The following is a 26,315-nucleotide window of genomic DNA, read 5'->3' on the forward strand; positions in this document are numbered from 1 at the left end:
TGATCTCTGTGACCTACACCCTATTCGTACACTCCCTGCTCTTTTGAAAATCACTAGTAGAAACTTGCTGGTTTTAAGGCTCAGGGGGCATCACGGAACCTACCGACATGTGATGACTCCCCCGGACGCCCAGCTTTAAAATTTCTCTCTTTTGTACTCTGTCTCTTTATTTCTCAAACTGGCTGACGCTTAGGGAAAACAGAAAAGAACCTACATGAAATCGGGGGCAGGTTCCCTTGATACCCCACCCATCTCAAAGAATAGCCGTAAGGATCAATACCAAGGCTTGTGCTGGCCCTCAGACGCCCTCTATCTGTAAACTGCTCATCCACCTGGCCCCCACCTCCTTCAGGTCTGCCCAAATGCCACCGCGGTAGAGCGTGCTTCCCTGGCTGCTGTATCTACACTAGTGTCACTCACTGTACCATCTCTTTTATGTCCTTCCCTGAAATTCTGACTACCTGACACCTTAGATTTATTTGTTTATAGTCTACCTTAACCCCTTTAGAAGGTAAATTCCAAGGGAGCAAGAGCTTTGTCTGTTTTCTTTCTGTTGCACTCCCAGTGCCTCCCCCAGCGCCTGCCATGTAGCAGGCTCTTGGCAGTACTTCTTGACTGAATAAGTGAGTAGCTTCATGTGAAGTGGTGGTACCTTCTCCATTACATGACTGGAGTGGAGGAGGAACAGCTCTTCTGCTAGAATGGAAGTTCCACGAGAACAGGAAACAGGAGAGTACTCAAGATACGTATCTGTTACATGAATGGAAGAGGAAAGGGTTGATGGGGAGACAGAAACCACGCTGTCCCCTCCTCTGGCGCCCAAGAAGTCCAGGAAAGTTGCGGTTGGACCTGAGCTGGGGGACTTCAGAAGACTGGGCGAAGGAAGAGGAGCCCTGTAGCCCACAAGGATGGGCTGTGAGCAGGCGACGTGAGGGGTGGTGGGGAGGAGGCAATGGCAAGACTCAGTGGAACGTCAGGACTTAAACAAGGCTGGCATCATGGGAGAGAAGTGGACTGGTGGCCTCTGACTATGAATTATTTAGACGCTGGGTGAAATGAATCATATTTTCTTCCCAGCCATATGCCTCAGAGACTTCACTGATAAAGAATTTTAAAGTATGGAATGATGAGAGCTATTGAGTTTAACCTGTCCTCCCCCAGCTCCCCTCCCTGCGCCTCCCCACCTCCTATCACCAATGATCTCAGGCTCCACTCAGGCCGGGGCTAGTCTATAATAACTACTCAAGCAATTAAACCACATCCAATTTGATAAGTCTGAATATTTCAGAGGATCCTGTTACCTCCATCTTTGGGCCTGGAGGCCTACATTTTCTCATTAAACCTAACTGGCTTGTAAGAGGAGCCGACATCTGGGTGATAAAGCAGGCAGGGCCTCTACCTGCTCCTGTCTCTCTCTGATTGTTGGTTGCTAAACAGCTTCAGCCTGTCTCCCTGGGGGTGCTGGGGTTTCAGGGACCGGGAGGAAGCTCCCTCCCCTCCAACACCACTCCTGCTGCTGAGAATCTCCTTTAACACTGGCCAACACCTTTCATTCCAGCTCAGAACGACAAGGCTGAAAATTCAAAATGCCCCAGGAGAAGCAAAGTACTGGTTTAAATGAATACTAAAATGCAAGTGACTGAGCGCAGACCTTTTGTCCCTGGAAGGCAGATTTTAAAAAGCAAGGAGAGGAAAGGTGGTGTGGGGAAAGAGAATGGATTTTTTACCATCTCAGTCCTTCCACTCACTACCCTGGGACTTAGAGCAAGTTAATTAACCTCTCATCTGTAAAAACATGAGAAAGCTGCAGTGGCCAGAGGAGCTGCGTGCAGCTTCCAGGCTATGCCAAACCCCACCCTCTCTCTGTGCCATTTCTCAGCGATTTCCTCACCTACCTCCTCATCTTTCCACTTCCCTGGACGTCTTCCCAGGGTTGGATGGCCATCATCGAGTTCACATAGTAAGGTCAGTTACAGTTGACCTTCAAACAACATGCGTTTTAACTGCACAGGGCCACTTATACACGGATTTTTTCTTTCAACCAAACGCAGATCAAAAATACAGTATTCTGGCCAGGCGCGATAGCTCACTCCTGTAATCCCCACACTTTGAGACGCCAAGGCGGGTGGATCACCTGAGGTTAGGAGTTTGAGACCAGCCTGGCCAACAAGGCAAAACCCCGTCTCTACCAAAAATACAAAAATTAGCCGGACGTGGTTGTGCGCAACTGTAGTCCCAGCTACTCGAGAGGCTGAGGCAGGAGAATCACTTGAACCCAGGGGTTAGAGGTTGCAGTGAGCCGAGATCGCGCCACTGCACTCCAGCCTGGGCGACAGAGCGAGACTCCGTCTCAAAAAAAAAAGACAATAATTTTTTTTTTTTTTTTTTTTTTTTGAGACGGAGTCTCGCTCTGTCGCCCAGGCTGGAGTGCAGTGGCGCGATCTCAGCTGACTGCAAGCTCCGCCTCCCGGGTTCATGCCATTCTCCTTCCTCAGCCTCCCGAGTAGCTGGGACTACAGGCGCCCGCCACCACACCTGGCTAACTTTTTTTTTTGTATTTTAGTAGAGACGGGGTTTCACCATGTTAGCCAGGATGGTCTCGATCTCCTGACCTCGTGATCCACCTGCCTCGGCCTCCCAAAGTGCTGGGATTACAGGTGTGAGCCACTGCACCCAGCCAAAAGACAATAATTTAAAAAAATATTAAATAATTTAAAAAATAATAATTTTTAAAATAATTTTTAAAAAGAAGAAAAAGAAAGAAAATACAGTATCCTCTGGATTGGAAACCCGCAGATGCGGAGGGCCAACTTTTCATGTATACGTGGATTCCGCAGGGGCCACGATGTGACTTTGTTATGCACAAATTTCAGCATATGGGGGTACGGGAACAATCATTCCTTTATACCAAGGGGTAACTGTATTTACTTGTGAAGTCACTCTCCCTTTTTCCTGCCGCATCCACCCCTGCCCACACACACATACCCCAGACAGACAGTGACAACCTAAGCGTACGAACCCTTCCTTATTCTCCTGCAGGTCGCCATTAAGAAATCAGCAAATGCCTCTTCAACAATTGAGAATTACTTCTGTTAAGGAAACATTTTCAAACTTGGAAATAGAGCAAGAAAAAAGACTACATGCTTTTAAAACACTTTACTTTTAATTGACAAATCATAATTGTGTATATTTATGAGCTTTTCATGTGTTGTTTGTTTGTTTGTTTTAAGGCAGAGTCTTACTATGTTGCCCAGGCTGGACTCAAATTCCTGGGCTCAAGTGATCCTCTAGCCTCAGCCTCCAGTGTAGCTGAGACCACAGGCATGTGGCACCATGCTGGGCTTTTATGCCATGTTTGGGTGCAGTCTTCTGCATTGCCCTTTCAGTGTCATGCTGACACATCCAGTTTCACCAAGGATCACTTAATTCTCTAGGAGAACTTATCTACATTTGACTTTGCTATTTACTATTAAATACTGAATATCACATGTAATTATCACACAGACTTTCATTCTGCAGAGATGGAAATAATTTCTTCCTGGTAGAAAAGATAAGCTATGGCTTTATTGCCATGTAGACCATTAACCATTTTTGTACCTAACTACCAATCTTATTCGAACAGCCTCTGTCTTTTTTTTCTCTTACCTATCAATATCTCAAATATTATTGAAATCGGCTTTGCCGTCTTGAGTAATAAGACTTTGATATGTGTTCGTTCTATATTTTATAAAAGACATGTTTTTAGCTTTGTGAAAATATTTTGATCTCCCGCAGGAACTTAGGGAGTCCTAAATAATAGCAGCCCCACTTGTTGTGTTTTCATTTTTTAAAAAAATTTTTCTAGAGATGTGGTTTCACTCTGTTACCCAGGCTGGAGTGCAGTCATAGCTCACTGCAGCCTCAAACAGCTGGGTTCAAGTGATCCTCCTGCCTTAGCCTCTGAAGCAACTAAGACTACAGTCACATACTACTATGCCTGGCTAATTAAAAATAAAACTTTAGAAACAGTGTCACACTATGCTGCCCAGGCTGGTCTCAAACTCCTGGCCTCAATTGATCCTCCTGCCCCAGCCTCCCAAGTAGCTGGGATTACAGGCACAAGCCACAAGCCACCATGCCTGGCTATGTTTTTGTAAAAGCTAAGCCTTGTGCTAAACACTTTATATCCATTAGCTCATCTAATCCTCATCACAAACTTATAAAGCAGATCTTTATTTTATCAATGAGGAAACTAAGGCTCAGAGACACTAAGTAACTTGGCAAAGCTAGAGACACAAACTGCATACCAGGAACTTTATCTACTCTCTTTAATCCTCATAACAATTCTATGACACAGGTATCATGATCCCCATTTTCTTTATTAGAAAACTGAAGTTTAGTTACTTGATATCACCATTCGTAAATGAATTAAATTAGGATTAGAGACTCTACACTTACTGACTCCTCTACATTTTTTCTTCATTGACTGGGTGACTTAGCTAATGGGGAAGTTTATGATGCCCAGCACATTACAGAAAATGTTCATTTCTCTTCCGTTGGAAAGTTTGGTGGTGAGGAGATGTGGTTCAAATTGTTAGATAGCCCCATGAAAATGTTTCAATTTTCCCTTTCTTCCATAAAAATAGATCCCACAATTTTTAACTGGGCCCTGACCATCCCAAATAAGGATTACGTTTCCCAGCTTGCTTTGCATCTGTGTGGCCAAAATGATTAACTTTATTAACTTTTGGCCAATAGGAAGTAGGCAAAACTGTCATAAGGCTCTTTCAGGGACCTTCCTTAAAAGTTGGTTGATAAGCACCTTCTTCTCTATGCCTTTCTCCCCCACCCACCTATTAGGAACATGAATGTGAGGTCTGGTGCTCTAGCTGTGTCCCTGTCCCCCACAAGGACAATACTGGATCTGGGGAAGGTAGAAGTCTGAACTGGAAGGAGGCTGGGTTCCTGAGGGCTTAGTCAAGCACCCCACCAACCCCAGAATGCTGACTTCTGGGACTTCATATGAGGAAGAAATAAGCTGCAGTCTTGTTTAAGCCACTATTTTTTTTTTTTTTTAGGATCTCTGTTGCTTGCAACCCAAAGTATCCCAACTGATACAGCACAAAGAAAGTAGAGAAGAAGCCTCAGAGGCAAAATTGGCCTTCTGCAAAGAAGTGCCCAGGAGTGGTCTTGACACTAAGAACCAGCCAGAATTGCCCTGGAGAGCCCAGCAGAAGGAGCTGTCAGGAAGACAGATATTGAATGAGTTCTGACAGCCACGACTCACCCTGACTTGCGTCACTGCACCCTCTGCCAGGCCTGCTATTTTTGTGGCATTATCAGGAGCCACCTGTGATGACATTACAGCTCCATGCCAGTACCCACTGTCCATCCTCTTCTGAGTGGAAAGAAATGGCACATCACCAAAACTATCACGAGGCAATCTTATAAGCACTGGCCTCTCTTCTTGTGAGCATGAGGAAGAAATACCTTCTGTTCTGCTTCTCTGAGATTTGCCCATTGGCCCTGCAAGAACAAAATATGTTGGTCTCTTCAACAGTGATCCACAAGGCAGGGCACAGAGCCTTTGAACTTGCTAGAAATCTAACATTTTGCATTCTCCCAGGCTGCTGGAGGAAGAGTAGGATTTGACTCCCCTGAAGATTTGGGCCGGACTTGGGAGAGCTGAGGAAATGGCAGTATTTGGCCAGGAGTTTTGAGACTTCTCCCATGAAGATCCCAACAGAGGTGTCCTCTGCTGGGTCTGCATCTGCCTCTGCTGCTGGGTGCCCACTCCTGGCATCTGGCTGCCTTTGTCAATGTCCTGGCTTCGTTATATACTTTGCTATGTGATTTTGGACACAATGTTCCTCACCTGCAAGATGGAATTTATGACAGTTTCTGTTTCAAAAGGCTGTTACAAAGACTAAATGAGATATTTCAAGTGAAGCTTTCAGATACCTGGCACATAGTAAGTGCTCAATAAATATTGCCTGTTATTGTTATGGAGTAATAATAATACAACAGAGTTCCTTATGTGTGCTAGACATTGTACTAAGTACTTTACATATATAAACTTAAAAAAATTTTTTCGAGACAGTCTCACTCGGTTGCCCAGGCTGGAGTGCAGTGGCATGATCTCAGCTCACTGAAACCTCCACCTCCTGGGTTCAAATGGTTCTCCTGCCTCAGCCTGCCGAGTAGTTGGGATTATAGGTGTGGCCACCATGCCTGGCTAATTTTTGTAGTTTTATTAGAGACAGGGTTTCACCATGTTGGCCAGGCTGGTCTCAAACCCCTGACCTCAAGTGATCCGCTCTCCTCGGCCTCTCAAAGTGCTGGGATTGCAGGTGTGAGCCACTGCGCATGGCCTATATAAACTCTTTTCGTCCTGAAAATGACTCCATGAGGACTACTATTATTACCACCACAACCCCCATTTTATAGATAAGAAAACGGCAGCATAGCTGGGACATATCTTAGTCCATTTTCTTCTGCTATGACAGAATACCACAGAGTGAGTAATTTCTTGAAAAAAAGGTTTATTTGGCTCATGATTCTGGACGCTGAGAAGTCTAAGGTCGAGGAGCCTGTATCTGGCGAGGGCCACCCCATGGTGGAAGGTGAAACGTGAAACAGGAAAATGGAAGCTAGCACACCCCATGCTGGAAAAGGAGCAGGAAGGAGGAGATCCTGCCTCCTTACATGACTGCAAGCCTTTTGATTCCCAGCACACCTGGCTTCTTCTCTGCTCAGGCCTTTTAAATGCTGCTGCTTCTGCCTAACTTTTTTCTCTCCCTGACCTGCCTCCACTGTCTCCTGGACACCTTCTCAGCCCTGGCCTGACCCTCTGTTTCTCTCGCACACAGCTCCTGCTCTATTTGCTCTATTTTCACTCCGGGTTCCTATGGTAGGGGATTCTTTACTCCATGGTCCCTTGTCCTCTGTCCTTCTGCAAGTTAGACTGTAAGCTTCAGGAAGGCAGCGGAAATGCTGGCTTTACTCCTTGCTGTGTTAACACCCAGCACGCAGGCAATGCTGGGGCACAGTGGACATGTAGTAATTTTTTTTTTTTTTTTGAGACGGAGTTTTGCTCTCTCTGTCGCCCAGGCTGGAGTGCAGTGGCACAATCTCGGCTCACTGCAGCCTCTGCCTCACAGGTTCAAGCGATCCTCCTGCCTCAGCCTCCCAATTAGCTGGGATTATAGGCACACACCACCACACTCCGCTAATTTTGTGTTTTTAGTAGAGACAGGGTTTTGCCATGTTGGCCAGGCTGGGTCTCAAACTCCTGATCTCAGGTGATCCATCTGCCTCGGCTTCCCAAAGTGCTAGGGTTACAGGCATGAGCCGTAGTACCTGGCCTGCAGTAAATATTGAATGTGTCATTGGGTCTGAATAGAACTAAGAACAGGGATTTCCCTTCTGAGGCAGCATGTCTCTGCTGATCCCTGCAAGAATCAGGCCCTCACTTGTGATGAGAGGCTGCTATGTGTTAGGCACTCGCTGTATACCTGGCCTATTCCAAGCACCTCACATGCATCTTCTCATTTAACACTCACAACCGCCTAGTGGGGTGTGTGGTCCACTGAGGCTGCTATCACAAAGGACCACAGCCTGGCTGGCTTCCACAACAGAAATCTATTTTCTCACAGTTCTAGAAGTCCAACCTGAAGGTGTCAACACGGTGGGTTTCTCCTGAGGCCTCTCTCCTTGGCATGTAGATGACCCTCTTCTCCCTGTGCCCTCACACGGTCTTCCCAATCTGTCGGCGTCCTAATGTCCTCTTCCTATAAAGACAACAGTCATACTGGATTAGGGCCCACCCTAATGACCTCTTTTAACTTCCTCTCTTTAAATACAGTCACACTGTGATGTACTGGGAGTTAGGACTTCAACATACGAATTGGGGGTGGGGGCGGGAGATAGAATTCAGCCTATAATAGGGTGGTAGCTATTATTGCCCCATTTCAGCTGAGGAAACTGAGGCACAGAGAGACTGGATAACTTACCTAAAGCCACAGCTAACAGAGGGTAGAGCCAGGATATGAGCCAGAATAGCCTGACTCCGAGGCCGAGGTGGGCGGATCACTTGAGGCCAGGAGTTCGAGACCAGCCTGGCCAACATGGTGAAACCCCATCTCTACTAAAAATACGAAAATTAACCAGGTGTGGTGGTGTGTCCCTTAATTCCAGCTACTCAGGGGGCTGAGGCATGAGAATCGCTTGAACTTGGGAGGTGAGGAGATGGCACCACTGCACTCCAGCCTGGGCAACAGAGCAAGACTCTGTCTAAAAAAAAGCCTGACTCCATAGCCGGAGCACAGAACCACTGCCTGGACCCCACGGCAGCCTGCAGAGGAAGATCTCAGACCAGCCGAGGAATTCAAGTCTCAGAGGTCACACCTCTTGCCCAAGGACATTGGTGGGACAGATGGCAGAGCAAGAACTCCAAACCAAGTGTTCTGGCTCCCAGCCCAACCCCAGCCCAACCTCCTTCCATCGAAAAGGGAACAGCAAAAGCTTCCAGGAAGGTAGGAAAGGGTTTGAGAATAGGAAGCAATTTGACTTTCCCATGACATTACTGGGAGATTAATGAAAAAATGGTTCCCTCTAAGAGCCTCTGAGACATGCCTTATAGGCAGGGCACCTGTGGTTCAGAACAGCCCCAGACAAAGCTGGAGAAGAAAGCAGCAAGCTCACCACCCCACCCCCCCAAGATTCCCACTCTCCCCTGAATTCCCCTCTCTGTATCCTGCAGCCCCTTTCCCTTGCAACAACAAAACAGCCATAATAATACTCACACTTACCAAATGTCTACTGTGCTAGGCCCTATTCTAAGTGCTTTTTTTTTTTTTTTTTTGACAGAGTGTTGCTCTGTCACCCAGGCTGGAGTGCAATGATGTGATCTCGGCTCACCACAACTTCTGCCTGCTGGTTTCAAGTGATTCTCCTGCGTCAGCCTTCTGAGTAGCTGGGATTACAGGTGCCTGCCACCATGCCTGGCTAATTTTTGTATTTTTAGTAGAGATGGGGTTTCACCATGTTGGCCAGGCTGGTCTTGAACTCCTGGCCTCAAGTGATCCGCCTGCCTCGGCCTCCCAAAGTGCTGGGATTGCAGGCATGAGCCACCATGCCTGGCCCTAAGTGCTTTTATATACTAATTTATTTAATCCTCTCAACAACCTGTGGGCAGAGCATGGCATTATGACCCTTTCTATTTTATATATAAAGAAGTGAATGCACAGAAGTTTGCCAGAGGTCACCTGGGAAATACTTGCTGCAGGCTGAATTTGAACCTAGGCAGTCTGGCTTGCAACCAACCCCTCATCCATTCTTCACACTGTGGAGTGGACGGCTGGTAGGGAGTTCATGGGTTAGCTCTCCATAGCTACCCCTTCACTTGTTCATTTGCTCATCCACCCAAGGAGAATTTAACACACCTATTTTGCTGACTCTGCCCCAGCCCCACACGGGATTCCCCTGTCTAATGCCTCCAGTCTTGCAGGGCAGGGAGACACTTAGAAATGACAGGGACCCTATATAATAGGATTGTGTCCAAGAGGCTCTGAGGCAAAGAACAGGGGGATTCACAGCGTAAGACAGTCAAGATCGGCTGGATAAAGGCAGTGGTGGATATGCAAGGTCTTGAAGGGCAGGTAGGTGTTTCCCAGGCAGATAAAGGGATGTTGCCTTTGGAAAATAAGAGAGAGCTATGGTGGGTATATATGGAGATGCGAGTGGGGTGAGGCAGGAGGAGAGCACAGAGGAGAAGCTAGCTGGGTGCTGTGCTGAGGAGGTGTTTCATCCTAGAGGCTATGGCATTTTAAAGCCCCTTTGGGGCTGGAAACAGCATGGTCTTCAAACTCCATAGTAGCTTCCCATCATACATAGTCTAAAACCCAAAGTCCCCACTGTGGCCTAGAAGGCTGTACATGATGTGGCCTCCCAGCCCAGGATCTCATCTTTGCTCTCATCTCCCCCCAACTATTCCTATCTTCCTGCTCTTCCTCAAACAAGCCAAGCCTATGACCTAGACATTGAACTTGCTGCTCCCTCTGCCTGGAACTCTCTTTAGCAGAGTTTGGCTTAATCGGCTAATTACATTCAGCAGAGCTTTAGCATGGCTCTCAATAAATGCTTACTTGTTAAATGAATGAATGAGGTCTATTTTATGATATTTCAATTCATTGAAAGTAAGTATACAGACAGCTCTCAGCCATCTAACTGGGCTGAATAATGAACCAGGACACACTGTCGCCCTTCGGGCTGGCCTGATGGCCCTGTTAGGTCTGGACTGTCACTGGGTTGCTAGCAAATCCTCCTGAGCGGGTGTGGGCTGCAGTCAAAGCGAGGCTGCTTAGCAATTTGGCTCCTCAGCCTGTGGCTGCAGCTAACAACACTGCTGCCACAAACACGTCTCAGTAGCAGAAAAGAAGCCGTGAAATTGCCTGAATTGAGGAGCTGACGGGAAAGTAAAAGGGGCCTGTCAAAATCCAAGTAAACTAAAAGGCAATTCCTCCTTGCCACTGATGCACTTTTGACACTTGGAAAAGGGGAGAGAAAAGTCTCTTCCACTTCGCATCCAACCTATACCCTCCTTTCCTCTGTCGTCTCCCTGCACTCATAACAGAGAGGGACGGAGAGTCCTACAAGCTGTTGGGTGACCGTGGCCCTAGGGCGAAATGAAATCGCTGGCCGCATTATTAGGGAAACATGGTCTTGACAATTCTGGATGATCAAAATAGCAATAAAGTCTTTGATGGGAAAGACAAAAAGCACCCTACTTCTCTCCCGGGTAGCAGAGTGTCCAAATAAATTGTTTCGATAATTAGCAATTCATTCATGTTCATCCGTACTCAGTACTCGCCTCTTGTCTTTGTTCTTGGTTATTTCAGAACAAAACAAAAAAAAACTAAGGTGGGCTCCCAAATTTTGCCCCCTAACTCAGTGCTCAAGTTTATTTCTCATGTTATTAGTCTTTCCTGTGAATGATAACATCAGCTGATTATAAATAAATCAAGGTCCTTTTCTAGCAGTTACTGCTAAAAGTTAATGTCTCAGGCAGGATAGGGCCTATTTCAATATGCCTTAAACATGGGATGGAGCAGCTAAGCCATTTGCGCTCAGAATGCTGGTGAAGAAATTAGGGCTTAATGAATCCTGAAACAACCAGCCTCTCCTCTCCTATATGGAGAAAAGAAAACATGGCTCGCAATTTTAAATGTGAACCAACAACTTGTTTAGAAATTGTTATTTAGAGATAGTGGCAGTGGGGGACTCTGGAAAGCAGATGTCTTCACACCTCATGAGAGACATTGTTTTCTTAGGAAAGGCTGAGGTCGCCCCTCAGAGATTCTGATGATGAAATTTGGAGCCCACGTTTCCTACAATTCTGTGCATGCGGATGGCGGGTTTTAAATGCCCAGAATGTCCAATTTGCTAGGGGCCTCTTGGGGGTTAGGTAATTGCCTGGCAGCTTCTGCGGGTTCTACTGGCAATGGGCTCAGTAGAGTTACTCCTTGAAGATTTCAAGGCAAAGTGACTTCCCAATATTTGCAAATTGGCAAGCTATGAAGGTTTTGAAAAAAGCAGATGGAGGTTGGAGAGCTCGGAGCAGGCGCCGGAAATCTCAACTCAGAGAATGCGCGGGAGCCAGTTCTCCATCGGAGCGCTAGATGGCGCCAGCAGCCTGTCCGGGCTGAACCGCCTTCACCCTCCTCGTTCTCAGGGCGAGGCTGGCCCATAAAGAAGTGACTGTGGAACAACAACAACAAAACACCCAGAAAAGGCTTCCCGTTGCTTCAGGAGCACCGAGGGTGAATGTGGAAGGTGATTGGTGACACGTCTAGCTCTGGACGGCAGCACGTGGGCTGGCCGACAGGTTAGGAACCACTGCTGTGTGCTGTGTTGCATTGCTCTCCAATTGTCAGTACCGGGACTTTCTGATGACGGAGTCTCACTCTGTCACCCAGGCTGGAGTGCAGTGGTGTGATCTCTGCTCACTGTGCCCTCCGCCTCCCGGGTTCAAGTGACTCTTCTGCCTCAGCCTCCCGAGTAGCTGGGATTACAGGCTTGCGCCACCACGCCTGGCTGATTTTTGTATTTTTAGTAGAGACGGGATCTCACCATGTAGGCCAGGCTGGTCTTGAACTCCTGACCTCAGGTGATCCCCTGGCCTCGGCCTCCCGATTAGCTGGGATTACAGTCGTCAGCCACTGTGCCCAGCTTCTGATTGTCTTTTTACTCTTTTCTATCCCTGTTCTCTACTCCAAAGGCAGCTGCTTTAATGTGATTCATGCATATCCTTGAATTCATATTATCCATAGAAAAAAATCTGTGATCTCGAGCACGCATGCATGCATGTGCGTGCGCGCGCACACACACACACACACACACATTCAAAGAGTTTGAGTAAGAATGTACTTTTTAAAAAAAGCACCTAATCCACATTAACATTGCAAATTAGAAATCCAAAATCTAGGCTGGGTATGGTAGCTCATGTCTGGAATCCCAGCATTTTGAGAGGCTGAGGCGGGAGGATTGCTTGAGGCCAAGAGTTTGAGACCAGCCTGGGGAACATAGCGAGACGCCATCTGTACAAAACAAATCAAAACAGATGTGGTGGCGTGCACCTGTAGTCCCAGCTACTCGGGAGACTGAGGTGGGATGATCCCTTGAGTTCAGGGCTGCAGTGAGCAATGATCATATACCAGTGTACTCCCACCTGGCAACACAGCAAGACCCAATCTCTCTAAAGTTAAAAAAAAAAGTTTTCATAAAAAAAGAAAAGCATGCAAAGTCTAAGAAGGACAGACAAAGAGCTCGAGGTTTCACATTGGGTTGGGACAGCACTTGGCCTCCATCCCAGGCATCTTGATTCACAGGTCAGTACTTCTTCCACCAGAGCACGCATAGATTTTTAATTCACACAAATGAGTTATTAGTCTGGATCTAGCAAGAAAATTAGAAACCACTCTAGGTCTTTCAAACAGAGAAAATTTAATATAGGGAATTGGTTACCCAAGTTGATAGGCAAACTGAGAAGACAAACAGGTGACCCAGAGATTATCAACCTCAGGAAGCCACCATGACCCCTAGGGCTGGAGCAGCAATAGGAAGGATGATGCTACTGCTTTATGGCTGGGACTCCAATGTAGGGACCGCTGGCAGGATCTGAAACAGTCGAGGAGGGGCCATCTGACAGAAGGCAGAGCCAAGGAAGAGAAACAGGGTTGTGGGAGCTACCGGAGGAAAGACATAGAGAAACACCCTGGCTCTCCCTTCTTCCCCTCTCTAATCTTCTACCAGTTTCCCATTCCCTAAACCAACCCACAAGCCAGAGCCATGAGAGCTGGCAATTGTAGTTCCCTAGGATATAAGGAAGAGCAGAGGAAAGGCAGAGATGGATTGAGAACAAACTGGCAGTTTGGCATAGGCAGAATGGTGATGTGCTGAAGGTCCTGCTGTTATAAATGTTCATGTGTGAGGCCAGGCGTGGTGGCTCACACCTGTAATCCCAGCACTTTGGGAGGCCGAGGCGGGCGGATCACCTGAGATTGGGAGTTCCAGATCAGCCTGACCAACATGGAGAAACCAACATGGAGAAACCCCATCTCTACTAAAAATATAAAATTAGCGGGGCGTGGTGGCAGGTGCCTGTAATCCCAGCTACTCCGGAGGCTGAGGCAGGAGAATCGTTTGAACCCGGGAGGCGGAGTTCGCAGTGAGACGAGATCGCACCATTGCACTCCAGCCTGAGCAACAAGAGAACAAGAGTGAATCTCTGTCTCAAAATTAAATAAATAAATAAATAAATAAATGCCCGTGTGTGTGTGTGTGTGTGTGTGTGTATGCATGTGTATGCATTTAATACGGAATTGAGGTGAAGCATGTAGGCTGCCTGGTTGAAATCTCAGCTCCTCTGCTATGTAAGATGATAAGCAGTTTACTGAACTTTTCCATGCTTCTCTTTGCACATTGGAGATAATGATGCTGTGTACCTCATGGGATTTGGTGAGAACTGAATGAGTTACACTGTGTCAAGTACTTGGAATGGGGCTGGGTACAAAGTAGTATTCGATGTCCTCTATTATGTTTTTTAAGATCTGCCCATGTTACTGTGTATGTGCATCCAGTTTGAGGCTCGTAATTGCTGCACAGAGCCCCATAATGTGTGAGCACCACATTTTATTTATCCAAGGAAGCACGAGGCAAGTCACTGATCCTCTGTCCACTTTCATTTGGGATGACCGGAGTGGTAGATATTGAATTCAGGCAACAACATATTTCGGAAACAAAATTAGATGGTGCGTGTAACTGGTGCATGAGTTTACTGAAATCCAAGATGGTGCTTTTGCTTCACTTGACTTGCTTCATTTTTGACTTTTCATAAATGAAGATAACTTGGCTTTTTTCTTCTGAGTACAGTTCCATAAGGGTAAGTGCATGTCTCATAATAGTTTTACTAATGGATCACCTGCCCTGATCCTCACAGCTGCTTTGTGAGTTAGGTATTGTTATCAGCTGAGAGAAGTGAGGCTTGGAGGAGTTAAAAAAAACCCTCCCAGTCGCTGAGCCAGGACTGAACCCAAGCCTGTGGCTGGTCACTCTGCCATACCGCCTCCTTAAGGCAGTCACAGAGAGCCTGGCCCATGGAGTGGGAATTCATCTTTCACTATTACCAGGACTGGGGATTGAGTCCATGGGCCTGAAATTTGGGTGAGAAGGGGCAGAATCTGTTAGCAGACAGCCAAAGAGCCACAGGCAGGACCTGAGATGGGGTCAGAGCCCAGAGTGTGAGAGAAGTGACTCTAGGTCTGGAATTACCCAGGGGGATACTGGGAATCCTTGCCTAAAGGCGGAGTTGGCTGGCGGGAGAGGCAGGCTCAAAGGGCCAAGATCTTGGTGGCAGAACACAGAGTTGGCAGCTTTATATGATTTCAGTGACGGATTACTGTAATGCCCCATTGTGTCATTGTAACTGATGGCATTTTGTAATTGAAAGCTCAGCCAGTGTAGAGTGTGGTTCATTTGGACAATTGCTGTGCACTTTTAAGGATGGATGTGGACCATTTATCTATGCCTTGTTGTCTCAGCAGGACTAGAATCAATGCTAATGAGACCAGACTCATTTTTCTAAAGCACCATTTCTATCATGTTGCTCCTGGGTGAAAAACCTGCGATGACAGCCCATTACCTTCAGGGAAAGGCCAGTGCCACGTCTGGAATGGCTTTGGTGACTTCCACACTGGCCCCAGGCTGCCTTTCCTGCTTGGCCTCCCTCTGCCTCCCAGATGCACCCTATACCACCAGGCTGATCTACATACGGCCCCCTGAACCCTCAAACCTTCAACATGCTTTGCACCCTCCCAATTTCATATCTTTGCCCGTGTCATCCCTCCTGTCTAGATCACCCTCCTCCACAGCTGTGTGAGCACATCAGCCTGCTCAGTGCAGGGGAATGCTCTCCAAAGTCTTTTCTACTATCCCACTAAGAAAGCAAATAAAAGTATGCACATTTAAGTATGTCCTATCAGGCACATACAAATAAGTACATTTGTTCTTTTTTTTTTTTGAGACTGAGTCTCACTCTGTTCCCCAGGCTGGAGTGCAGTGGTGCAGTCTCAGCTCACTGCAATCTCTGCCTCCCAGGTTCAAGTGATTCTCCTGCCTCAGCCTCTGGATAGCTGGGATTACAAGTGTGTGCCACCATGCCTAGCTAATTTTTGTATTTTTAATAGAGACATAGTTTCACCATGTTGCCCAGGCTGGTTTTGAACTCCTGACCTCAGGTGATCCACTGGCCTCGGCCTCCCAAAGTGCTGGGATTATAGGCAAGAGCCACTGCGCTCAGTCTGCCCAGGCTGATCTTAAACTTCTGGCCTCAAGTGATCCGCCTGCCTCGGCCTCCCAAAGTGCTGAGATTACAGGAATGAGCCCCTGTGCCCGGACCATTCATTCATTTAATTTTATTGTATGTCGGGTGCTGCTAAGTTACAACAATTAGGATTTGGGTTGCAAACAGAAAATAACCTAACAATACAGCATGTAATACTTTTCTGTGGCTGTCTTGACAAGGTACCACAAACTTGGTGACTTAAAACAACAGAAATTTATTCCCTCACACTTCCAGAGGCCAGAAGTTTGAAATGAAGGCGTCAGCAGGGTTGGTTCCTTCTGGAGGCTCTGAGGGAGAATTGCTTCATGCCCATCTCCTAGATTTTGGAGGCTGCTGGCAATTATTGGAATTCCTTTTTTTTTTTTTGAGACAGAGTTTCGCTCTTGTTACCCAGGCTGGAGGGCAATGGCGGGATCTCAGCTCACCACAACCTCTACCTCCCAGGTTCAAACAATTCTCCTGACTCAGCCTCCTGAGTAGCTGGGATTACAGGCATGCGCCACCACATGTGGCTAATTTTGTATTTTTAGTAGAGATGGGGTTTCTCCATGTTGGTCAGGCTGGTCTCAAACTCCTGACCTCAGGTGATGCGCCTACCTCAGCCTCCCAAAGTGCTGGGATTACAGGCATGAGCCACCGTGCCTGGCCAATTCTTGGAATTCTTTGGCTTCTAGGTGAGTCATTTCCATATCCACCTCTATCTTCACATTACCTTTCCTCTGTGTCTTTCTGCTCTTCTTCCAGAGGACAAGTCTCTATAAGAACGCTTATTGAGTCATTGGACTCAGGGACCACTCTAACCCAGGATTATTTTTATCTCCTTTACTTAACTACATTTACAAAGACTCTTTTTCCAAAAAAGGTCACATTTGCAAGTCTCAGGGGAAGGACTTTCTGTTGCAGGGGCGGGGCCGAGGGGACACGACACGCCCACCATTCAACCCACTACACAGTGTGTTAAATAAAAAGGGCTTTATTCTTTTCACTTAACAAGGAGTCTGGGGGCCAGCAGCTGCCAGCCCTGGTTTATTCCCCGCCCCTCTCTGCAGTTCTCTTGGGTTTTCCTTCATTATGCAAGAAAGCAACCTCAGCTCACTTTGTTATGTGAGTGGGCGGGGGTGTGTGACAGCACCAGTCACATCCATCCCTATTGTCACCAGATCACGAGTTGTCTTAGACCCCACCCAGCAGACATCTCCTTTTCTGGAAGAAAGGCTGCAACAGGGTGGAGATGGATGAAGTGTCTGTCATGGGTGGAGGATACGGTGACCAACACACAGTCCCACCCTCAGGGAGCTGCCAATCATTGTTTCACTTCACCCCCAGGACAGCCCCGCCTTCAAGTTCGTTCAGCTGCAGGACACAGAACCCACCTGGTGGTGGATCCTGAAAGTACCGCCCTCTGGATCCTGAAAGTAACGCCCTCTTTGATGCAGGATCCGATGCCCCAGCTGCTGGGGGAGCTGACCACAGACAGCCTTCAGCTCTCAGATCCCTTAGGGACCGACTCAGCTGCAGAGTGTGGCCTCGCCCAAGGTCATGCTCTTCCCAGAAAGTTCCATATCCAATGACTGATCCTTACAGACCTGACCTTTTTGGCCTGACTGGGATGATTTTGAAGGGCCGTTCTGACTCCAGAGCTTCCCATGCTGTCAGAGTTCAGCTGTGCTCTCTCCTGGCCCCTCCAACTCCACAACTGATAGGTGGAAGTTTAAACCCCAGAACCTCAAAATAAGACTCTATTCAGAGACAAGGCCTTTAAAGGTTAATTAAGGTAACATGAGGTCATTGGGTTGGGCCATAATCCAATATGATAGGTGTCTTATAAAAAGAGGAAATCGGCCTGGTGCAGTGGCTCACACTTGTAATCCCAGCACTTTGGAAGGCCAAGGCAGGGGGGATCACCTGAGGTCGGGAGTTTGAGACCAGCCTGGCCAACGTGGAGAAACCCCGTCTCTACTAAAAATACAAATTAGCCGGGCGTGGTGGCACATGCCTGTAATCCCAGCTACTCGGGAGGCTGAGGCAGGAGAATTGCTTGAACCCAGGAGGTTGTGGTGAGCTGAGATGGCACCATTGCACTCCAGCCTGGGCAACAAGAGTGAAACTCCGTCTCAAAAAATAAAAATAAAAAAGAAGAGGAAATTAAGATGCAGACACATGGAGGGAAGGCCAGAGGGAGACACAGTGAGAAGACAGTTGTCTACAAGCCAAGGAGAGAGGCCTCAGAAGAAACCAGTCCAGCTGGGTGTGGTGACTCACTCCTGTAATCTCAGCACTTTGGGAGGCTGAGGCAGGCAGATGGATCACTTGAGGTCAGGAGTTCAACACCAGCCTGGCCAACGTGGTGAAACCCTGTCTCTGCTAAAAATACAAAAATTAGCCAGGCCTGGTGGCACTCGCCTGTAATTCCAGCTACTCAGGAGGCTAAGGCACAAGAATCGCTTGGACCCGGGAGGCAGAGGCTGCAGTGAGCTGAGATCACACCACTGCACTACAGCCTGGGCAACAGAGTGAGACTCTGTCTCAAAAAAAAAAAAAAAAGAAAGAAAGAAAAGAAGAAACCAGCCCAGTCAACACCTGATCTCAGACTTCCAGCCTCCAGAATTGTGAGGAAATAAATTTCTGTGTGAAGCCCCTCAGGTTGTGGTCCTTTGTTATTGCAGCCTAGCAGATTAACACACATGGGTTGGCCAAGGCTGTGGCCCTGGTCCCAGCTCAGCTGCTCTCTCCGCCCACTCCTGCCTCCTTCCCCTCCTTTCCATAGGTATCTATCCCAAGGGCAGTCTTTGGTCAACATGGAGCAGCCTAATGCTCTCAGAGGCACCTTCCAGGGGACCCAGACTGTGCCTCCACTCCTGCAGCCTGCTCTAAGGGGAGCCTGTAGGGAGGGCACAGGAGACACTTGGAGACATGGAGGGCAGGAATGCACAGGCCTGGGGAAGGACCGTACCTGGGGCTGGAAGCTGGAGAGGAACAGCCTCTCCCTAGCACCTGCCTGTGTGTCTCTTGTCCCCTTTCTGAGTGTCTGTTTCGTGCTGCAGATTCCCCAGGAAGACTTACCCTCTCTGTGGCATCCTCATTGCTGGTTCCTTCAAGAGAACCAGCTCGCCCCAGCCTGAGTCTATGTGATTTTCCATTTCCAGGTCACCCCTGACCCTCCTCCTCTGGGATGCTCTGCTGAAATTCTCAGAGAATCTGATTGGCCCCATGGTTGCGCATGTGGTCAGATGGTCACGGGTACGGTCTCTCCCGGGCCTCCGGGAAGTGAAGGCAGTGGGCACGTCCACCCTCTTTTGAGGTCAATGTCTTCCTGAGGAAGGAGTGGAGGCCCACAGGGCTTGCTTTCTTTTACCACTGATGGGGAGATGCTTGTCCTGTGTCACCTGTGTTGTTATGGCACATTCCTCAATCTGATGAGAGTTCGAAGGCCTCTGAAGCCTGAGTCTGGGTATTAGACCTCTGCATCCTCGCCTCCTCCCTTACACCTGAGCTGTGGCCCTTGGCCAGGCCTAGCTCAGAGCTGGAGCTTAATGAATATTTGTGGATTCAAGGATGGAGGTCAGGATTTCAGATAAGTTTAATTCAGTTTCTTTTACGATAATAGCCCGTTCCTGGAATTGTGCCACCGGTCTCCAAGAGGTATGAAATGAGGGGCAAGGGAGCAGCTGGAGGCCGCAGTCCTATACAACATTAATTTATTTAACAGCTGTTTTGCCTATTGTGGTAAAATATACATGCCATACAATGTATCATGTTTGTATTTTTAAATGTACAGTTTTGTGGCATTCAGTACATTTACATGCTGGGCAACCATCACCACCATCTAACTCCAAAGTTTTTTTGTCTTCCCCAGCTGAAAGTCTGTATCCATTAAACAGTAATTCTTCATTCACCTCTCCCCATAAGCCTCTGGGAACCACCAACCTACTTTCAGTCTCTATGAATTTTTTTTGAGACAGAATTTCACTCTTGTCACCCAGGCTGGAGTACAATGGTGCGATCTCAGCTCACCACAACCTCCGCCTCCCGGGTTCAAGCGATTCTCCAGTCTCAGCCTCCCAAGTAGCTGGGATTACAGGTGCCCACCACCACACCCGGCTAATTTTTGTAGTTTTAGTAGAGATGTCACCATGTTAGCCAGGTTGGTCTCGAACTCTTGACCTCAGGTCATCCTCCTGCCTCAGCCTCCCAAAGTACTGGGATTACAGGTGTGAGCCATTGTACCCAGTGGTCTCTATAAATTTGTCTACTCTAGGTAACTTATATAGAAAGAGTCAGGCAATATTAGTCCTTTCATGACTGGCTTATTAGCATAATACATGCAAGAATCACCTATGTAGACTATGTCAACATTTTCTTCCTTTTGGGGGCTGAATAATTTTCTATTGTATGGATATTCCACATTTTGTTTATCCATTCATCTATCAAGGGACTCTAGGGTTATTTCCAGCAATAGCTTTTTTAAGAAAAAAAATTAATTTCCCATTCACCATTGTACTTAATTCTTTACATATCTTACTCAGTTAATCTTCCCTGTAGCTTAGGAGGTGTCATTATCATTATCCTCTTTTAGGATGAAAAAACTGAGATTTGGAAAAATTAAGGAATTTTGTCACTGTTACCCAGCAAGTTAGTTCCAGAGCCTGATTCCCTCCAGGGCTGTGTGAGACTACATGCTTCCCACCCCATGGTAAATGGCACCTGGGTAATGCAATCAGCAAAATTCCAAATGAGGAAGTTCTACATGGATAATGACCTAGTTTTTTCAAAAAATAAAATAGAAGAAACAAAAGAAAAGAAAAGCCAAGGAACCTAGAAATTAAAAGAGGTTTAATAGAAAAATCAACCAAAAGCATGGGCTTGTTTGGATCTTGATTTTAACAAGCTGTGACTTCACTGTGAATTACATCACTTCCAAACAGTGATAATAACTGGGGAAATTTAAACAATGGGTATCCAAGCATGATTATTATCATTGTGGTGTATTAATGGAATAGTGGTTTTGTTCTAATGTGAGAGAGAGTGAGGGTGTTAGAAGTACAAACAGAAATATTTAGAGATGAGGCTTAACATTTTGGTGTCTAGGCCAGGTGTGGTGGCTCACGCCTGTTATCCTGGCAATTTGGGAGGCCGAGGTGGGTGGATCACCTGAGATCAGACGTTCAAGACCAGCCTGGCCAACATGGTGAAACCCCATCTCTACAAAAAAAAAAAAAAAAAAAATTAGCCGGATGTGGTGCTCATGCTTGTATTCCCAGCTACTTGGGAGGCTGAGACAGGAGAATCGCTTGAACCCAGGAGACAGAGATTGCAGTGAGCTGAGCTCGCGCCACTGCACTCCAGCCTGGGCAATAGAGTGAGACTCTGTCTCAAAAAAGAAAAAAATTTTTTTTTGGTGTCTGGAATTTGTTTCAAAATATTTCAGAAGTAGGGGACAGGGAGTGAGGTGTAGGGAGTAGATACAGATGAAGTAAGAATGACCTATTGGGTCAGGCATGGTTGCTCTCACTTGTAATCCTAGCATTTTGGGAGTCCCAGGGAGTGGATCACCTGAGGTCAGGAGTCCGAGACCAGCCTGGCCAACATGGTGAAACCCTGTCTCTACAAAAAAAATACAAAAATTAGTCAGGCATGGTGGCAAGCGCCTGTAATCCCAGCTACTCAGGAGGCTGAGGCAGGAGACTCACTTGAACCTGGGAGGCAGAGGTTGCAGTGAGCCGAGATCATGCCACTGCACCCCAGCCTCGGTGACAGAGTGAGACTCTTCATCAAAAAAAAAAAAAAAAAAAAAAGATTGACTTATTGATAACTGTTGGGACCTAGAGATTAAATGAAACTCAAGAGGCGTATCAACCAAATGGAATGTAATAGGCCTTACTTTAATCCTGACTCAGATAAATCAAGAGTGAAAAACGATTTATGAAACAAAAAGGACGATTCAAACTCCACATTTTTGAATGATATTAAGGAACTATTGTTAATGTTTTAGGTGTGATAATAGTAAAGGTTAAATTTAAGAAAAAAGCGATTATATTTTGCAGATACATACTGAAATGTTTATGAACAAAATTATATCATATCTGAGATTCAGAATGTTCTAGGAGTAGGGTGTGGGGAGAAGGAGAGACACAGATCAGAGATCAGCTGTGTTGATAATTACTGAAGCTGGGTGATGCTTACCTGGATTCATTTTACTATTGACTGTTCTGATGAATGTGCTTGAAAATTTCTATAATAAAAATCCTAAAAGCAAACACTTGTGAAGAAATAGCATCCCATTTCTCTAAGTGGGGAAACTGAGGCTTTGAGAGGATAAGTAACTTGCTTAAGTTTCCACAGCCTGTTGTGGGCAGCAGTGGAGGACACAGTCATCAACTTCAACTCTGGAGCCAGGCGGTTAGCCACTGGAACTGTTCCCTCCTGGGCACAGCCCATGTTTTTACCCTGTTACTAGCATCTTGGTTTTTCTTAGGGAGAGCACCCTCTCCAATTCTTAGTCCATGTGGGAAGGAGATTGACCCCACGTCTGGCCCCAGCCCTAGGGGAGGGGGATATTCCAGGCCCCATCAGTCTTATTAGTCTATCCCCTCAATCATGCTGATTGCCTCAGGGATGGACAGGAGGCCTGCATTGATCCAATGAGACACAATTCTTGGAGTTTTCCAGAAGTAGAAGCAGCAGTTCCTTTTTCCTCTGGAATTGCTAAAGAATAACAACAGCAATGACAATAATACGTATCAAAGGCTTACTATAGGTGCTATTATTATCCCCCTTTTTACAGATGAGAACACTGAGGTGCAGAGAGGTTAAGAGACCTGGTGACAATCTGGAGCACTGGAGGCCACCACATAGACAGGTCTCCTCAAGGTAAAGTCAACACCTTGAAGTCAACCATGCTCAAAAGAAAGAGTTTCAAGGAGATCAAGCCCCGATGATGTCATTTGAGTCTCTGGATTCAGCTAGACCTAGGACTTTTCTATTTCTTGAGCCTGTATTGTAAGTGTCAGCCAACTTGAGTTAGGTTTTGGCACTTCGCAACTCAGAAAGGCTTGGCATGAAAAATTATGGAGGACCTTGAATTTCAGGGGTAGGGGAATGGAGAAAATAGAAAGGAACCAACAGAACTTGCCTATTGTTAAGACAGGCATTGTGCTAGAGGCTTTCCATACGCTATCTCACTTAATCATTACAACAGCATGTTTGATGAGTAATAGTCACATTTTATAGATTAGGAAAATTAGGTCATAAAGGGTTCAGTCCATTGGTTCATTCACCATATATTTTATTCTGGATCATGTACTCTACTAGATATTGAGCAGTCAAATAGCAATAATAACAATAGCTAACATTTTATTGAGAACTTACTGTGTGCCAAACACTGTTCCAAGCATTTGACATTCATTGTCTTGTTTATTCCACTGAACAACCTTGTGAAGGTAGTTATCATCATCCCTATTTTATGCATGAGGAAATTAAGGCACAGAACCATTTAGAAATGTGCTTAAGGGCAGGTGGCTGGGAAGTGGTGAAGACAGAGTGGCTTCAGGGGCCAGGACTCTGACATGATACCATGCTGCCAAGCTTCTCTCTGGAAGTTCAGGGTAGCTTGCCTCAGGTCACACAACAGCAGTCCAGGCTGGTTCACCTGACCCAAAGCAAGCTCTTTCCTCAGCATCATAATGCAATTGCACATAGTGAAGTTGGAGTTCTATTTTGAAGAGGATTGGGAGCCAACAAAAGGTTTTGGGAGGAAAATGATGTGTTCCCATCAAAATTATGCCATATTTCAAAGAAGGGATGGGTCCTTCATTGTATTTATTCTGACTACGAGACAAAAACACATCCCCATAAACACCTCCCAGAGGCCACACATTAGTGTGGTTTATACTGTGTGCCATGACATACAGAAATGGGTTTCATTTCTGTTTTTAGGGAGAAAACTTCCTGCTTGTCCTGGCACAGAACCCCTTGCAGCAGGACACACTGTTGGCCAGCATAGGAACTTGACTCTTGCATGTCTTTTCTTTTGAACTGCCAACAGCTCTTACTAACCTTATTTTGGTAACAGCTCCCTTCTTTTGTTTCAGAACTGACCCTCCTCTATTCCACATGAGTCTGTTAGGATCCCCTAACTCTGGCCAGAGGGTCACTGCCCCTGAGCTGCAGTGATGAGCTCATGGATCGGGAATGCCATTCTAGTAAGAGCAATCAGACCCTTCTGGGAGAAGAGTCTGGCACTAGAAGAGAAAAGCTTACTTTTTATTGAGAGTGAATGATGTAAACTGGAACCTGTCTGTGATCATACTCATACCCTCCTCTCCACAATCCCTAAAGTCACAGGGAAGAAGCTCATCTCTTGCAATAGGAGTAAGCCTAACATCCCAAGAAAAGCACAGCTGAGAAATGGGCAGAGAGAGAGAATATTACTGAGTTTCTGCATCCAGTCATGCTGGAGAACAATTCCATTCCATGAACTCCTAGTTTCTGGAATCAGTAAATATCCCCTTTGCTTAAATTGGCTTGACTTGAGTTTCTGTTGCTTGCAACCAAAAGAGTTCTGGCTAAGACTTGGTTTGTTACCCAGAGGCTTTATTATCTATTGTTTGTTTTTGTTTTTAGCTTTTCTCACTTTCATCTTCACAAATGGTAATAAGTTGAGAATGTGTGTGAAGATCTAACTGTAAGCTAATACTGGCTGCTGAGTTATTTGTTATGGTAAACATTTAGAAAAAAACTTAGATGGCTCATAAGGGATCATTCACCTGTACAATAACCTAGTGTCCCTAGGTCTGATGACTGTGGATAAAAAATGACATCTAGTGATGTTAATGGCTTGACTGTGGTACGCAGGGGTTCAGCTCCACCCAGAGTCCCCACGGTTTTGTCTGGGGGTCCCATGGTAATGTCTCACATAAGTTCAAGGACAGGCTCACTTGTATTTTTCAACTCTGGCTTCCTCCTTGAGACATTTCACCACTGCCCAGGGCTGTCTGGGAAAACTGCTACTCTGTGTGAAGCTGTCCTTTGGGGTGGCTTGAGCTCTGGAGTATCAGAGCTGGGCTAGGCCAATGGGGGTGGGAGGACCAGTGAAGGAAATCGCCCTGCAGTGGGCTGTGGCATCTGTGCTTTATCTTTCTCTCTTCAACAAGCTTCTGTATGTTATTTCCTCTGTTAAGAAACCCGGTGATCTGGGAGGAACCAGGCCTGGCCAGTCAAAGTACTTTCTCGCCCTGACAATGAAGACTTGCCAAGAAGTGACATGGGACCCATGCAGGAGGACAGATCCCCAGAACCGGGGAGAAAGACACTCTCTTCTTTTCACTTATGTTTCTAAGCTGGAGCTCATGGACTAAACCTATAATAAGAAAACCCAAGAGCTGTTGGTTGGCCTCTACCTTTCACCCTGTGGCCTGAGGCACAGGGAAAGCTGGCTTGCAGAGAACAGAGAATAGAGCAGATGGACAGGGAGCAGCAAGGAAGAAACAGAGTCTTGGCAGCCTCCCATCCAGGCCCTGATTCTAGGTCATTCCTAAGGTTTTGCTGCATCCCTGACCTTGTGCTTCAGGGAATCCATACAATTGCTCTTGATATTTGCTAAAACTCACTTCAACTGGCTTTTGCTTTTTTGCAACCCAAAGGGTCCTAACGAATACATGCACTGTTCTTTTTTTCTTCAGATACCTGTGCATAAAGATACCTGTGCATAAAACTGTTCCCTTCTCTCTAGTCTCATAAAAGCAACTGCAGCCGGGTGGGGTGGCTCACGCCTATAATCCCAGCACTTTGGGAGGCTGAGGCGGGAGGATCACTTGAGGTCAAGAGTTTGAGACCAGCCTGGCCAACATGGTGAAACCCTATCTCTACTAAAAATACAAAAATTAGTCGGGTGTGGTGGTGGGTGCCTGTAATCCCAGCTACTTGGGAGGCTGAGGCTGAAGAATTGCTTGAACCCGGGAGGCAGAGGTTGCAGTGAGCTGAGATCTCGCCACTGCACTCCAGCCTGGGCAACAGAGTGAGACTCTGTCTCAAAAAAAAAAAAAAAAAAAAAAAAAGCAACTGCCTTTAAGCAAATGAACATATGCAAACCAATCCCTGGGCTACTAGCCCTAAGCCTAGCCCCAGACTTGGCCAAAAACAAAGTCCCTTAAACACAACCTATAACTCACAACTTCTATATTGAGTCTAAATGCAATAAATAGCAATTGTGAACGCGAACTTGCTCAAGGTTGTCAGATATGATGAGAAAGGAAGGGCCGGAATTCACATTTATGTCAACCTGTGTAGAAAAGTGTTTCACCATTTTGCTGTATTTGCATATCAACCAATCTTTCAGAGCTTGGTCTCAAAGAAGTAATCTGGGACTCATTTATAATCCTTAAAGTAAGAGTCTTAGCTGCAGATTCCAGCACCTCTCTGCTGCTTTGGCTGGCCT

The 26,315-nt window shown here is 46.5% G+C and overlaps 3 annotated features.

Annotated features, from left to right (window-relative positions):
- Window positions 11,729-11,928: an enhancer, noted in NCBI's record as "active region_21383". NCBI's record gives its function as "activates an Ori minimal core promoter by ATAC-STARR-seq in GM12878 lymphoblastoid cells {active_cell/tissue: GM12878}" and the evidence as "EXISTENCE:reporter gene assay evidence [ECO:0000049][PMID:35858748]".
- Window positions 16,252-16,775: an enhancer, noted in NCBI's record as "NANOG-H3K27ac hESC enhancer chr4:25994521-25995044 (GRCh37/hg19 assembly coordinates)". NCBI's record gives its function as "activates a minimal SCP1, AML or CMV promoter by ChIP-STARR-seq in naive and primed H9 embryonic stem cells {active_cell/tissue: H9 hESC(naive and primed)}" and the evidence as "EXISTENCE:reporter gene assay evidence [ECO:0000049][PMID:30033119]".
- Window positions 17,194-17,253: a silencer, noted in NCBI's record as "silent region_15330". NCBI's record gives its function as "represses an Ori minimal core promoter by ATAC-STARR-seq in GM12878 lymphoblastoid cells {active_cell/tissue: GM12878}" and the evidence as "EXISTENCE:reporter gene assay evidence [ECO:0000049][PMID:35858748]".

The sequence above is a fragment of the Homo sapiens genome, chromosome 4 (genome assembly GCF_000001405.40).
Source record: "Homo sapiens chromosome 4, GRCh38.p14 Primary Assembly".
Classification (NCBI taxonomy): Eukaryota; Metazoa; Chordata; class Mammalia; order Primates; family Hominidae; genus Homo; species Homo sapiens.